This window comes from Homo sapiens, chromosome 5, assembly GCF_000001405.40.
Source record: "Homo sapiens chromosome 5, GRCh38.p14 Primary Assembly".
In the NCBI taxonomy this organism is placed as follows: Eukaryota; Metazoa; Chordata; class Mammalia; order Primates; family Hominidae; genus Homo; species Homo sapiens.
The window spans coordinates 55,593,152-55,609,623 of NC_000005.10; the positions used below are offsets into that span (position 1 = coordinate 55,593,152).

The 16,472-nt window shown below is 44.4% G+C and overlaps 1 long non-coding RNA gene across 1 annotated transcript, besides 1 other annotated feature; it reads right to left on the minus strand.

Annotated features, from left to right (window-relative positions):
• Nucleotides 1–10,068: 10,068 nt before the first annotated feature.
• On the minus strand, nt 10,069–11,911 carry LOC124900980 (uncharacterized). Its single transcript, XR_007058776.1, has 2 exons — nt 11,741–11,911; nt 10,069–10,385 (listed from the first exon to the last, which is right to left on the minus strand). It is a non-coding gene; the product is annotated as an uncharacterized LOC124900980 (long non-coding RNA).
• Nucleotides 10,677–11,876: an enhancer, noted in NCBI's record as "MED14-independent group 3 enhancer chr5:54899656-54900855 (GRCh37/hg19 assembly coordinates)". NCBI's record gives its function as "activates an origin of replication core promoter dependent on BRD2, BRD4, P300/CBP and CDK7 cofactors, and independent of MED14, by STARR-seq in HCT116 cells {active_cell/tissue: HCT116}" and the evidence as "EXISTENCE:reporter gene assay evidence [ECO:0000049][PMID:35650434]".

Consider the following 16,472-nt stretch of genomic DNA (forward strand, 5'->3'; position numbering starts at 1 on the left):
TAAAAGAGCCTGAGTAAATTTTAAGTGGAAAGTCATGTGTCAGCAGCCTTAGTTTAAGCCTAAGCCATCTCCCACTGGGATTCAGACGTGTCTAGACCTGTTTGGTAGACTGAGCTGCCAAAAGCCAATTTTTAAGAGGAACTGATGGCTGGGGAGACAGAACTCATTTAAAGGAAGAGAGACTGAACCAGAAAAGCTTGTTAAGGTGGGGGGGGCCAGTTCTGAATATACTCGACTGTGCCCCCCCAACCCTAGTCCTGCCTCCATGAACTCAGGACTGAATCCTAGAAGAGAAAGGCCTATGTTAAAATCTGAAAGCCTTATTTTCATTAAAAACTCTTTTTTCTTTTCTTTTCTTTTTTTTGTTTTGAGACAGAGTCTCACTCTGTTGCTCACTCAGTGACTCAGTGTCTTGATCTCGGCTCACTGCAACCTCTACCGCCTGGGTTCAAGTGATTCTCCTATCTCAGCCTCCTGAGCAGCTGGGATTATGGGCGTGAGCCACCATGCCTAGCTAATTTTTGTATTTTTTTTAGTAGAGACAGGGTTTCGTCATATTGGCCGGGCTGGTCTCAAACTCCTTACCTCAGGTGATCCGCCTGCCTTGGCCTCCCAAAGTGCTGGGATTACAGGCGTGAGCCACCACACCTGGCCCTATTTTCTTTCTTTCTCTTTCTCTCTCTCTTTTTTTTTTTTTTTTTTTTTTTTTGTGGAGTCTCACCCTCTCGCCAGGCTAGAGTGCAATGGCGTGATCTTGGCTTACCGCAACCTCCAACTTCCTGGTTTAAGCAATTCTCCTGCCTCAGCCTCCTGAGTAGCTGGGATTACAGTCACGAGCCACCATGACCAGCTAATTTTTGTATTTTTAGTAGAGACAGGGTTTAACCATGTTGGCCAGGCTGGTCTCGATCTCCTGACTTCATGATCTGCCCGCCTCGGCCTCCCAAAGTGCTGGGATTACAGGTGTGAGCCACTGTGCACAGCCCCTATTTTCATTAAAAACTCTAAGATCTTGGATGCAAGGGAAGACTGCCTCAGTAATTGCTCATGTACATTACACAAAATGTACATTACATGAAATAGAGAGAGGCTTTTTCTCACTTGGGCAACAAATGCCATGACCTTCAGAGTATTCATCTCCATATTGGTACACCACATGTACCCATGTATCGGGGTGGTGGCAGTGACAATGGGCCTGTAAAGGGGGTCGTTTGAGGACACCAGAGGTAGCCTTGAAACACCTTCATTAGCTGTGTGGGTGGTGAGGCCTGGGAAGCTGACATCACTGAAGAGGGACCGAGCAGAAGAAGACAGTGGTAGAAGCCTATGGTGGTCCTAAAGTTTTTGGTGAGTTCAGGCGAGAGGCTCTCTAGGGACTCCCAGGTGGAACACTGATGGGGACTCCAAGTGATGATAAGGGCAGGAGACATCCCCATTTGTATGTTAATAGTGTACAGCACTCTGGCTGCTGTGGACTAGGGAAATACAGTCTAACCACTAATGAAATCTAATGAAAAATAACTAAGTAGCTGAGGAATGAGCCACACAAATTTGAATTGAATGACTAAATACACATTGTCCATTTTGGGATGAATGGTAGCCTTATCAAATAAAAATTTTTTCCATCTCAAGAGTCATTGTTATTGTGATGAAATAAAGCTGTTGAGTAGCATTTCCCACCATGGGTTGCCCTGTTATTCTCACATTTGGGAACTTTCCATTGCTTTAGAGATTAACTTTCCCACGGTTTTCTATCCCATGATGTTTGCGGTTATAGATGAAAATGTAACTAGCAGTCAATGGCAGGAAAAGTAATGAATGATGTAGTGTGTAACAATAAAAAAATGAAGCAAGTTCAACTGAATCCAAGATGTTGAGTTCACAGAAAGCCAGTGCAACAGAACCTGTGAGAAGAGCCACACCCTGGGGTTCGTCTATCACGTAAGGGAGGAGAGGGAAGGATTCATGAGCTCTGCCTTTTCAGCATCATGAAAGTGAGACTTTGTGATCACACTTTTATTTTATTTTATTTTATTTTATTTTATTTTATTTTATTTTATTTTATTTTATTGAGATGGAGTCTTGCTCTGTCATGCAGGCTGGAGTGCAGTGGCACAATCTCAGCTCACTGCAACCTCCGCCTCCCGGGTTCAAGAGATTCTCCTGCCTCAGCCTGCTGAGTAGCTGGGATTACAGGTGTGTGCCACCACGCCTGGCAAATTTTTGTATTTTTAGTAGAGATAGGGTTTCACCATGTTGGTCAGGCTGGTCTTGAACTCCTGACCTCGTGATTCGCCCGCCTCGGCCTCTAAAAGTGCTGGGATTACAGGCGTGAGCCACTGCACCCGGCCTTATTTTTTTATTAGGATGAAATATATTAACTTCAGGCCAATGCTGGTTTTTGAAGATATCATGAGTTATTCATTTTCCATCAAAGGACCTTTCTAGACATTTAAGAAAGAAATAAAACATCTCATATGATAGAGGTCCTGGTATGCATTGAAGCATAAAAATAGCTCAAGTGGGAGCGGTGGCTCATACCTGTAATCCCAGCACTTTGGGAGGATGAGGCGGGTGGATCACCTGAGGTCAGGAGTTCAAGACCAGCCTGGCCAACACGATGAAACCTCGTCTCTACTAAAAATACAAAAATTAGCCAAGCATGGTGGCACACACCTATAGTCCCAGCTACTCAGGAGGCTGAGGCAGAAGAATCGCTTAAACTTGGGAGGCAGAGGTTGCAGTGAGCTGAGATCACACCAGCCTGGGTGACAGAGTTAGACTCCGTCAAAAAAAGAAAAAAAAAAAAAGCCGGGCGCAGTGGCTCATACCTATAATCCCAGTACTTTGGGAGGCTGAGGTGGGCAGATCACCTGAGGTCAGGAGTTCAAGACCAGCCTGGCCAAAATGGCGAAACCCTGTCTCTACTAAAAATAGAAAAATTAGCCAGGCATGGTGGTACACGCCTATAATCTCAGCTACTTGGGAGGCAGAGGCAGGAGAATCACTTGAACCTGGGAGGTGAAGGTTGCAGTGAGCTGAGATCATGCCACCGTACTGCTGTTTGAGCAACAGAGGGAGACTCCATCTCAAAAAAAAAAAAAAATAGCTCGAGCAACAAACATTAAAGAAGGCATCAGCGAAGATGCCATAGTTCCTCTGCATGTGGGGAGGAAAGATGGGAGCAATGGTTCTCAAACCCTGGATCCCGTGAGAGCCGTAATAATACTTTGAAAGTATCCTGGGCTACTGGGAAAGACCACATAGGTCTGTGGTCCCCCTCCCACACACACAAAAATCAGACAAGCCAGGTTATCTCTTTTGTATATCGGTTCTTTTTTCTTTTCTTTCTTTCCTTTTTTTTTTTTTTTTTTTTTTTTTGAGATGAAGTCTCACTCTGTTGCCCAGGCTGGAGTGCAGTGGCATCATCTCAGCTCACTGCAACCTCTGCCTCCTGGATTCGAGCGATTCTTGTGCCTCAGCCTCCCGAGTAGCTGGGATTACAGGTGCATGCCACCATGCCCAGCTAATTTTTTGTATTTTTAGTAGAGATGGGCGGGGGTGGTCTTACCACGTTGGCCAGGCTGGTCTCGAACTTCTGACCTCAGGTGATCCGCCTGCCTCAGCCTCCCAAAGTGCTGGGATTACAGTTGTGAGCCACCACGCCTGGCCTGTATATTGGTTCTTGCCTAAAATTTATATTTGAACATAGGGATTTGGTGCTTTAAAAAATTGAGAGAGAAAGATTGAGATGAAAAACCACTGGGGCTTTCTTTAAATCCCCTTCTGCAAATCTTATGTTTTCTCAAGAGGAGCTATCTCCAGGATGAATCTTGCATGTTAATCACAGTTGTAGCAAACTCAGTTGCTGTTTTCCTTATGTACACCAGGAATTCATCTACTCCTGGCTCCCAACACATGGTCTTGGCAACACGTGTCATGGCTGCTTTGTTGCTGAGCCACATGGTGGAAACCGAGCAGAGCTGAGTTTGACTGGATCCATCCCACCAACCCCTGGCTGACCTCCGGCACTGTCCATCCCTATGTACAGGGGGAATGCTCAGGAGTCCTGGAGAGGAGAGGGCTAAGCTGCTGGCCTGCCCAGAATTTGGGAAGCTCTGCTCAGCACAGCTGAGATTAAAAAGAGTCAGGAAGGAGAAATCAGCAATTCCTTTAAGGACCAGAAAACTTGGGAAAATGCCAAAGGATGACAAAGCCAGGGAGCTTGGGAGCTTGATCACTTTAGCACTCAGCTTTATGACCTTTGGAAACTACGTGTCACACTATTGAGTCCAAAACCAGCTTTGATAAATTTTGTTTTGGAATCTTTGTCCTCAGGCATTTTAAGACACTGTAGAGAGGTTGTCTAATATTTTCCACACATCATAATGGCATAAAACTAGGAGAAGAACAAGGACAGCTAGGAAGAATTGCAAATAGAGACTAGGAGGCAGAAAAGATGGAAAAAGTTGGAAATTAGAGTGACATCTGTGGGTTTAATCAGTAACTTAATCTGGCAATGCAGAACGTAGCCAGTTAAGAGGAAACAGAACCCAGTAAAGTTCCTACCTCCTGAGGAGTCCCCATCTCCGCCTTGAGCTTTTGTCATCCTTGGGCAACAGGCAGACATGTTAGTTCCTGCTGGCTCCAGTCCTGTCTGGCCTCTTGATCACTCAGCACTCAGGACTTGGGAAAGTCCTGAGCCTCCAAAGGCTACCGGTGGCATTATTGGGAGTTATTTGCTTGTTTGTGGATCTGGAATTTACCTGCTCTACCCACACCTGGTCCCCAGATGGTGGGGCTGGCCCAAGGCTTCCAGGTGCACACTAAGCTGCAGCTTCCCTGTATTCATGCCTGTCTGCCTGCCTGGTTTTTAGCCTGGGTCCTGACTTTTTACTGGGACTAGACCCCAGCCCAGAAGTTGTCTGGGGCTGCCATGCTGCCACCTGGATCCTGCTGTCTGCTCACTCCATTTTTTCCATCTTACTGCCCATTTACCTGCCACTGGATGATGCTTGAGTTTTAAACTTATTATTTTGAAAAATTCCAAGCCTGCAGCAAAGTTGAGAAAACAGTACAATGAATAGCCACATACTTTCATTTAGATTTACTAATTTTTAGCATTTTGCCACATTTTTCTTTCTCCTTCTGCAAACACACACACTCATAACTGTCCCCATAATGTCTGTTATGGCTATATTTTTTCCAATCCCAGATCTAAATTGGCATCATGCATTACATTTAGTCATGTCTTTTTAGTTTTCTTTAATGTAGAACAATTCTCTTGCTATTTTTGTTTTGTTTTTGAGACAGTCTCCCTCTGTTGCCCAGGCTGGAGTGCAATGGCGTGATCTCCACTACCTGCAACCTCTGCCTCCTGGGTTCAAGTGATTCTCCTGCCTCAGCCTCCCGAGTAGCTGGGATTACAGGTGTGTGCCACCACATCTGGCTAATTTTTTGTATTTTTAGTAGAGACAGGGTTTCACCGTGTTGGTGAGGCTGGTCTCGAACTGCTGGCCTCAAGTGATCCACCTGCCTTGAACTCTTAAAAGTGTTGGAATTACAGGTGTGAGCCACTGCACCCGGCCCAGTTCCCTTGCCTGTAAAAAAAATATTTCCTGGCCAGGCATGGTGGCTTATGCCTGTAATCCCAGAACTTTGGGAGGCCAAAGTGGGCGGATCACCTGAGCTCAGGAGTTCAAGACCAGCCTAGCCAACATGGCAAAACCCCGTCTTTACTAAAAACACAAAAATTAGCCAGGCGTGGTGGCACTTGCCCATCATTCCAGCTACTTGGGAGGCTGAGGCAGGAGAATTGCTTGAGTCCAGGAGGCAGAGGTTGCAGTGAGCTGAGATTGTGCCACTGCACTCCAGCCTGGACGACAGAGTGAGACTCCGTCTCAAAAAAAAAAAAAAAAAAAAAAAAAAAAAATTCTTTCTTGACATCAACATTTTTGAAGAGTTCAGGCCAATTGGGGGTTTTTTGGACATCTGATTATCTCGTCACAATTTGATTCAGGTTAAGCATTTTGGGCAGGAATACTCGATAGGTGCGACTGCCTCTTAAGCACAGGCTATGGCCAATGCCCACTTGCCTTTCTCTTCACGGCACAGTAACCATCCCCTTCCTCTTCCCAGCCTGGCAGAAGGCAAAGCAGCAAGGATGGCTGAGGAACTTGTGCTGGGCAGACCTGGGCTCCCAGGGGACCTGGCAGGGTTGCTGCCACCAGATACCACTCTGACAACTAAACCTTGCCCTTTGGCCCCCATTTTCATTTGTTGCAAATGACCTCTCACATATACTGGGCTCTTCAAATTCTATCGTAGTCCAGTGGTGGTCATGCTTAGGGTGGATCCAAGAGAAAACAAACAAGACAGAGACTCCAAAGAAGCCATGTCTTAGAGGCTCCTCAGCCCCAAAGGCTCTAGTGTATGACCCTTCCCATGGGGACAGAGCTTCCAAACTCAAGTGGACACTTCAGGCTATTGTGCTGGGCTTCAGGAATAGGAACAGGAAGGACTAGGAGAAATCAGAACTGGAAGTCTGGTTGAGTACAGGGATTTGGCAGACATCTATGCTCTGCGTTAGCAAGGAAGTCAAGTTCTTCCTTGAAAAGGACGCATGGGTACTACAAGTTCAAAAACTCAAAATGAAAATCCAAGTCCAGAAGCCTTCATGCGTCAGAGGAGACCATTGGCCAGGAGTTCCTCTGAGGCAGGAAAAGCCTTTCCTGTTATTCTGTGCATCCCTATGGCTGAGTCCTGTGCTTGGTAGATGGGAGACATCCAATCCTTGCTTCTGAATGAATTAATGACTACAGGAACAAATAAATGGATGTGATTTCTAAATGGCCAGGTTTAGTATCCAAGACTCCTATTTAACTGGGAGGATTCAAGAGTTAGTATCTCAGAGTATAGACGGGAAGAGACAGCAAAACATAGCATTTTGAGGTACACAAGTCAGTGAACCCAGCTGAGGAATGAGTTGAACAGCAGTGAGTTGTGGCATGTATTATTATTCAGGCTCAACCTACCAGCTGCAGACTTTTCTTTGATGGTGAACTTATGGTCTCCTGGTCTTCTGTATGCAGAGACCTTTTGCTCAGCTACAGTGTAGCCAGGAACATGCCTGTCCCATCAGGCACACTGCAGCTTCCAGGAAGCCGGGAGGGGGCCACAAGAATGGCTTTTTTACTTCCCCCGCACTGCTGCACATGGTAGAAACAAAAAGTAAGATATGGACACACTCATATACTATCCAGGCTTTTCAAAAGCCATAAAGCAGCATCCAAGCCTCGCTCATTATTATCATAAAAGCTGGGTGGAAAAGTTTAAAGTAGGAATGGAGAAATTGCATGGAAAGAAAGCTCAAGAAGTTCCTAATAAAGCAGCTCGAACATAAAGGTTTGGCACATTCTTAAGACCAGGAGGATGGTCAGGGTCAGTGCTTGAGCTGTAGTCTGACTGCATTCAGCATCTGGAGTGCTGGCGGCTTCCAGCAAGATCTACTAGACTGATAAAGAGGCTCTGAAAGATCTCTTACTGGCTATGAGCACCATGCAGGGGCAAAAAAAGATGTGTCAGGTGATTTAGAAGAAAAGTATTTTTAAGTCGAGAAGAGTGCAATTGTATTACCATCTCCACATTTAGAGATGATTTAAAAAGGCACAAAGAAAGGAAGTGGGCTGTTCCTGGGCCTCCTGTAACTACAGTCCAGCCCTGCTTCCTTATATAGATTTCCTTTTGCACACATACTCTTAGTTTAGGTTTCTAAAACCAACAGTTTTTATTTATAGGTAAGAAAATCCCAATTTTTCTAAATTTTCACCAAAGATGATGCTGGCCAGCCCCTAATTTGTGTTATCACCATGCCGGGGGCCCCTCCTTCCTACCTTCCTGTCTGAGTTCCTTGAAGAAACCGGGTGAACTTCTCAGTTCAATAAACTTTTGTAAGTTTCTTTTCTTTCTTTAATTCTTTTTTTTTTTTTTTTTTTTTTGCCAACGTGTCAGTACATCTGAGCACTCCTGATCCCTGTTGGCTGCACAGACAGCTCCAGTTCTGTCCTTCCTTTACTGGGGAACTGCTGTCAGCCGGGCTGGATTAGAGCCCGGCAACGGTTCTGTTGCTAATGAATTGGCAGGGAGAACAAAACACTGCAGCTCTCCTGGAACTATTTTGTCATCTATAGTTGGAGCACATAAAACCTCGGGACTTGGAAAAGAACAAATGTCATTTGCTTATTTGCTTTAGGATGTCAGGAACCCCAGTTCACCACGCCCTGAATGTTTGTCCGATTACAGCACTCATGCAAGTGACAAAAGGTTAAAGGAAAACTCCACCCTCGCAGCATTTCTCTGTTCATTTCCCACCCTCCAGGACTGGTTGGCAGGCCCGGGGAGGGAAAATTCTTATATTTATAACCCTGGGGATAGCAGGGACAGGCTTGGCAGCTTCAAAAGGGCTGAGCAAATCTTGGAACACTGGGATTGAAAGAGCCCTGAAGGAGCAATAAGGCCAACATTCCCCTCTAAAGATGAAGAAACCAAAGCCAGAGAGGTTGCCTGGTGTTGTGGCTGAACTGTGTCTCCCCAAAATTCATATATTAAAGTCCAATATCCAGTGCCTCAGAATGTGACCTTATCTGGAGATAGGTCTTTATAGATGTAATCAAGTTAAAATGAGGTGACTGGGGTGGGCCCTAATCCAATATGACTGCTGTCTTTATAAGAAGGGGAAACTTGGCCACAGAGACATGCAGACAGAGAGAGCATCATATGAACACGAAGATGGCCATCTACAAGCCAAAGAGAGAGGCTTTTTTTTTTTTTTTGAGATGGAGTTTCACTCTTGTTGCCCAGGCTGGAGTGCAATGGCACGATCTTGGCACACTGCAACCTCCATCTCCCGGGTTCAAGCGATTCTCCTGCCTCAGCCTCCCTAGTAGCTGGGATTACAGTTGCGTGCCACCATGCCCAGATAATTTTTTGTATTTCTAGTAGAGATGGGGTTTCACTATGTTGGGCAGGCTGGTCTCGAACTCCTGACCTCAGGCAATCCACCCGCCTCAGCCTCCCAAAGTGCTGGGATTACAGGCGTGAATGGCCGCATCCAGCTCAGAGAGAGGCTTTTAAGTTGAGAAGAATGCAATTGTATAACCATCTCCTTATTTATTTATTTATTTATTTTTGAGACGGAGTCTCGCTCTGTCGCCCAGGCTGGTGTGCAGTGGTGTGATCGCAGCTCACTGCAACCTCCGCCTTTCAGGTTACAGAGATTCTTCTGCCTCAGCTTCCTAAGTAGCTGGGATTCCTAAGTATGGAAATTTTGACTCATCTTGCAGGGTCAGTTGGAAGAAACGTGACTATTAGAAAAGTCTTTTGAAAGCGGAAGAGCACACATCAATCACAGATGGAAAACCAGGGTGTAAAGCATAACAATAAATTGTCTGCTGTCACAGAAAGCCCTGGATCTGATACAGACAATCATTTTGGGTCTTAGTTGCTTGCAGTCGGAGAGGCTCATTAGAGTCTGGAGTTACTTCATACACTGAGCTGGAAATTTCAAAGGAAACTTCCAAATCCACTATGTGCTTTGCTCTTCACTGGATTTTAACTGGGTCATTTACTTTTAAAAATCAAGCTGAATTTAGCACTGGCTGAGCCAAACTTTGCCTCTATCTCTGAGCAACTCTTGCTGTTGTCAATGCGGCTCTGTGTGTGGACAGAAGAGAATATGATCCATTGTCCTACCAGATGCAAATTATGGTCCTGATTCAACAAAAAAGCATCTGTCCTCCATGTAGGGAAAATAGCAAGAGACTCTGAAGCCAGACTAATGATTTATGACATGGCACTGTGCTCTTGCAGAAATTCACATTGCAGTTTGCCATCAGCAAGCCAAAAAAAAAAAATCATTCTGAAACTGACATGATTTGCAATGTTCTGTTTTGAGGCCCCTGCTAATGATGAACTCTATCAAAAACTGCTCAGAGAGAAGAAAATGATAGTTTTTTTGAAAGAGAAGGAAAAGATTTTGAAACAGCAAGTTTTACTTGTAATACATGGCTCTATATGACAAAGTCGATGCTTTATTCCATCATTCTCTCAGTAACTCTGGGAAGCCAATACCCAGGAAAAAGCAGTATCAATAATACAACTAATTTCATAATTATCTGTCGTCACTGAGGATCTTGTGGCCTGGGTGACTGGATGACGTGGAAAACGTTCTTCAAATTGATAAAACGTATTTGATTTCTATCTACTGGTAATAGAATAATATGAGTCTATTGTGGTTTTAAATTCTTTGTACTCTTACCCCTCTCCCATTGGTTTAGTGGCATTGAGGGCTTTTGTTATGTACAGCTCCTCAGGTGGGGTCTAAACACCTAAAATGCAGACAAAGAAACTGAGTCAATGTCTAGCTTTGAGTTTTAAAAACTTGGCTCTGAAGATCTAGAAAGAAGTAGTGTGCCCAGCTCACTGTGCCCCAGTCAGAAATGAGTACTATAATTGATTTTTAAATTTTTGTTAATAATAGTTTTTAGTTATTTTCTAGCTGTTAGCCATTCATACTTTCTCTTTTGTGAATTGTCTGTTTCATGTTCTTTTCTTATTTTTTCCTGGAATATCTTAGGTGCCCCCACTTATTTCCATGTAAATCTATCATACATGTAGCAAATATTTTCCCAGTTCGATCTCTTTTAATTTAGTCTGTGATTTTTTTTGATTTACAGAGTTTAGCAGTTTTATGTAATCAAATCTACAGCTTTTTCCATGTGATTTCCACTATGGCTCTTAAACTTAGGAGAGTTTTTACCATTAGGAGAAAAACTTCAGCTGAATTAAATTCAAAAGAGTTTAATTGAGTGATGAATGATCTGTGAATTGGGCAGCATCCTGAGCCAGAGTAGGCTCAGAGACTCCAGCGCAGCCACGTGGTGGAAGAAGATTTCTGGACAGAAAAACGAAAACGAAGTACAGAAAACGGAAGTGAGGTACAGAAACAGCTCTGGATTGGTTACAGCTCAGCTGTTTGCCTTCTTTTAGCATGGTTTGAACAGTTGGCCACATTTGATTGGCCAAAACTCAGTGACTGGCACAAGAGTAGACTATAGTCTGTTTACCCTTCCATTTAGGTTATACTTCATGATGTACAGAGAAACCTTTAGGCCAAATTTAAAATATGTAATAGGGCAGCTTTAGGCTAAACTTGATTTAACATTATACATAGAGAGTTGAGAGAAATTCATGTATAATTTCATCTATTTTGTTTGCAGTTTGATTTTTTTTTTACAATGAACTCTTTATTCTTATCAGAAATTTTATTCATTTCATCAACAAATATTTCCTGAGTGCCCTTCTGTGTCTGACAAGGTGTAGTTGTTAGGAATAAAATGGTAACCAAAATGCTTAGAGTAGGAGAGGAGATATGAGTGAGTGACAACAGGAGACTTTCATGCAGCTGGGGAGAGCTGTCATAAGGTGGTTTGACTGCTCTCAGTGCAGTATTAAGCCTAAGCGAAGTCGGGCAGGGTTGCGAACCATTGGAACCTCTTGAAATCTTAACTTTGTTCCCACAGAATGCCCCCTAAGTTGATAAACTAAAACAGTTTCTGCAGCAGGCTAAATCTGATTAGTCATGGAGCATTATTCATGCTCCAGCTATTAGGCAAAAAGTCATCAGGAGCAAAGAAACCAAGATAATTCTTTTTAAAAGACTTAGAAAAACAACAAAACATACCTTCACCAAGATTTCAAATCAGGATTCAGAGTAGCAGGGTTGTCTGAGATGAGGTAGACCCGGGAGGTGCTGGGCCCGGTGGACAGGGATGAGGCCTGCTTTGCAAGGGCACTGTTTGGTGGTGTGCTTGAGCAATGGCCGACTCCAGGATCCATTCAAGCACCACATCCCCCCGCCAAAAAAAAGATGTAAGAGGAGATTAATGTTTTCATGTCTTCTAATACAACATCCATTCTGATTCTGTACCCCATGGATCAAGGAATAATTTCACATTTAAAGTCTTATTATTATTATTATCATTATTGTTTTTTTGAGACCAAGTTTCGCTCTTGTTGCCCAGGCTGGAGTGCAATGGTGTGATCTCGGCTCACCGCAACCTCCGTCTCCTGGGTTCAAGCGATTCTCCTGCCTCAGCCTACCGAGTAGCTGGAATTACAGGCATGCACCACCACGCCTGGCTAATTTTGTATTTTTAGTAGAGACGGGGTTTCTCCATGTTGGTCAGGCTGATCTCGAACTCCTGACCTCAGGTGATCTGCCTGCCTTGGCCCCTCAAAGTGCTGGGGTTACAGGCGTGAGCCACCGCACCAGGCTAAGTCTTATTATTTAAGAAATACATTTCTTAAGTTGATAGCTGCTGTAGACAGTTATTCTTCTGATGGATCTGGGCAAAGTCAACTTAAAATCTGGAAAGAATCCACCATTCTAGATGCCTTTGGGCAAAGTCAACTTAAAATTTTCTGGAAAGAATTCACCATTCTAGATGCCTTTAAGAATATTTGTGGGCCGGGAGCAGTGGCTCACGCCCGTAACCCCAGCACTTTGGGAGGCCGAGGCAGGCGGATCACCTGAGGTCGGGAGTTTGAGACCAGCCTGACCAACATGAAGAAACGCTGTCTCTACTAAAAATACAAAATTAGCCAGGCGTGGTGGCACATGCCTGTAATCCCAGCTACTTGGGAGGCTGAGGCAGGAGAATCACTTGAACCCAGGGGGCAGAGGTTGTGGTGAGCCAAGATCGCGCCATTGCACTCCAGCCTGGGCAACAAGAGTAAAACTCCGTCTCAAAAAAAAAAAAAAAAAAAAAAAAGAATATTTGTGATTCATGGAGGAGAAGGTCAAAACAGCAAAATAGGTGCCAGGTGTGGTGGTGGCACATGCCTGTAATCCCAGTACTTTGGGAGGCCAAGGCAGGCAGATCACTTCAGCTCAGGAGTTCTTGACCAGCCTGGGCAACATGGCGAAAACCCATCTCTACAAAAAATAATTTAAAAATTAGCCGGGCATGGTGGTGTGCACCTGAAAGGCTGAGGTGGGAGGATCTTGAGCCTGGGATGCTGAGGCTGCAGTGAGCTGAGATCTCACCACTGCACTCCGGCCTAGGCAACAGAGTGAGACCCTATCTCACAAAGAACAAAAACAAACAAAAACCGGTAACAACAACAACAAAACAGGAGTTTGGAAGAAGTTGGTTCCAATCCTCATGGATGACTTGGAGGGATTCAAGACTAGAGTAGACGAAGAATTGCATATGAGATGAAAATAGCAAGATAACTAGGATTAGAAGTGGAGCCTGAAGATGTGACTGAATTGCTGCAATCTTATGATCAAACTTGAACGTATGAGTTGCTTCTTATGAATGAGTAAAGAAAGTGGTTTCTTAAGATGAAATATATTCCTGGTGAATATGGTGTGGACATTGTTGAAATGACAAGAAAGGTTTAGAATACTACATAAACTTAGTTGATAAAGCAGCAGCAGGATGTGAGAAGACTGACTCCAATTTTGAAGTTCTATATTGTGGGTAAAATGCTATCAAACAGCACTGCATGTTATAGAGAATTTTTGTGTGTGAAAGAGAATCAATGCAGAAAACTTCACTGTTGTCTTATTTTAAGAAACTGTCAGCCGGGCGCAGTGGCTCAAGCCTGTAATCCCAGCACTTTGGGAGGCAGAGGTGGGTGGATCACCTGAGGTCAGGAGTTCAAGACCAGCCTGGCCAACTTGGCAAAACCCCATCTCTACTAAAAAATACAAACAATTAGCCAGGCGTGGTGGTGGGCACCTGTAATCCCAGCAACTCGGGAGGCTGAAGCACGAGAATTGCTTGAACCCAGGCAGCGGAGGTTGCAGTGAGCCGAGATGACACCACTTCACTCCAGCCTGGGCAACAGAGAGAGACTCCATCTCAAAAAAAAAAAAAAAAAAGAAAAAAGAAAGAAAAAGAAAACTGTTGGCCTGGCGCAGTGGCTCACTCCTGTAATCCCAGCACATTAGGAGGCTGAGGCGGGCAGATCACCTGAGGTCGGGAGTTGGAAACCAGCCTGACCAACATGGAGAAACCCCGTCTCTACTAAAAATACAAAATTAGCCGGGCATGGTGGTGCATGCCTGTAATCCCAGCTACTCAGAAGGCTGAGGCAGGAGAATCGCTTGAACCCGGGAGGCAGAGGTTATGGTGAGCTGAGATTGCGCCATTGCACTCCAGCCTGGGCAACAAGAGCAAAACTCTGTCTCAAAAAAAAAAAAAAAAAAAAAAGAAAAGAGAAAGAAAAAAAAGAGAAACTGTCACGATAGCTGGGTCTGGTGACTCATGCCTGTAATCCTAGTACTTTTGGAGGCTGAAGTGGAAGGATTGCTTGAGGCCAGGGGCTTGATACCAGCCTGGGCAACCCAACAAGACCCTGTCTCTACAAAAAATTGTTTAGAAGTTAGTGGCTGGGCACAGTGGCTTATGCCTGTAATCCCAGCACTTTGGGAGGCTGAGGCAGGCAGATCACCTGAGGTCAGGAGTTTGAGACCAGCCTGGCCAACACGCTGAAATCCCATCTCTACTAAAAATACAAAAATTAGCTGGGCCTGGTGGCATGTGCCTGTAATCCCAGGTACTCAGGAGGGTGAGGCAGGAGAATCACTTGAACCCAGGAGGCGGAGTTTGCAGTGAGCAGAGATCCTGCCATTGCACTCCAGCCTGGGGGATAAGAGCGGGACTTCATCTCAAAAAAAAAAAGCTAGTCAGGTATGGGGGCCCATGCCTGTAGTCTCAGCTACTCCCAAGATGGGAGGATTGCTTGAGCCCCAGAATATGAGGTTATGGTGAACCATGATTGTGCCACTGCACTCCAGCCTGGGTGACAGAGCAAGACCCTGTCTCAAAGAAAAGGAAGCAAGCAAGGAAGGAAGGAATGAAGGCAGGAGGAAAGAAATTGCCATAGCCACCTTGGCCTTTAAACAACCACCACCCTGATTAGTTAGCAGCCATCAAGGTCAAGGCAAGACCCTCCACCAGCAAAAATATGATGACTCCCTGAAGGCTCCTGTTAATATATATATATATATTTAGCAACAAAGTATTTTTGCCAGGCGCGGTGGCTTACGCCTGCAATCCCAGCACTTTGGGAGGCCGAGGTGGGCGCATCACCTGAGGTCAGGAGTTCGAGACCAGCCTGACCAACATGGTGAAACCCCATCTCTACTAAAAATACAAAAAAAATTAGCCTAGCATGGTGGCGCATGCCTGTAATCCCAGCTACTCGGGAGGCTGAGGCGGGAGAATTGCTTGAACCTGGGAGGCGGAGGTTGCGGTGAGCCGAGATCGCACCATTGCACTCCAGCCCGGGCAACAAGAGCAAAACTCCGTCTCAAAAAAAACAAAAAACAAAAAATCCCAAAGTATTTTTAAATTAAGGCATGTACATTGTTTTCATTGTTTTTCAGACGTAATGCTATTGCACACTTAACCGACTACAGTATAGTATAAGCATAAATTTTTATGTGCACTGGAAAGCCAAAACATTCCCGTGACTCATTTTATTGTGATATTCATTTTATTGCAATGGTCTGGAATGGAACTTGCAATATCTCTGAGGTAGCCCTGTACACATACACACACACACACACACACACACACACACACACATCTACATCTATATACGCATTTGTCCTATTCGTTCTGTTTCTCTGGAGAACCCTGACTACCATAGTGAGTACATAGCTAAGGTAACTACCTGGGCTCAGACTGTGGCAGGAACTGGGGAGAAGGGTATCTCCATTACTTTTTATTTACATACATGTAATAGACTCACCGTTTTGCCAATAAAATTAGGAATACATAGTCCTAATTTGGGTGATGTAATTAAATACATCAATATTTTGTTTCTATGATTACCAGATATTTTGTTACCTAAATTCACTTGAAAACCACTACTGATCTGATTATACAAGGGAGACAGGATTTCTTTCCCCAAACCACTGTCAAAGTTTCCTGAAGCTGGAAAGCCCCTCAGGAGGAGTGGTCTGGCCAATTCCAACAAGTATTCTCAGAAATGTAATGATATAATCCTAACACTGAGTATTGGTACAGTGTATCAGCTTAGAAAAGTGCTTTTACATATAGTATGTTTTAAATTCTTCTGAACAACTGTGATATACTTTAGAGAGGATTGTCATTATTATAACTACCCCTCTTTTGCAAAAGAAGAAACTGAGAATCAAGAAGCTACGTGATGCATCATGTATCCAGTCTAATCAGCTAGACTATGACCAACCCAGGATGAGAAAAGAGTTCTTCTTGCATGCTTCATCTAGCACTTTTTCTTACCACTCAAATGTGTATCTGGCCAGGTAAGCAAACTCTGCTAGGAGATTAGAGTGCCAATTCAGCATCCTGACAAGGAATTTATTGTCAGTCACTTTTGACGGTGAGATGAGAAGGGAAGCTGGGGCAGTGAGG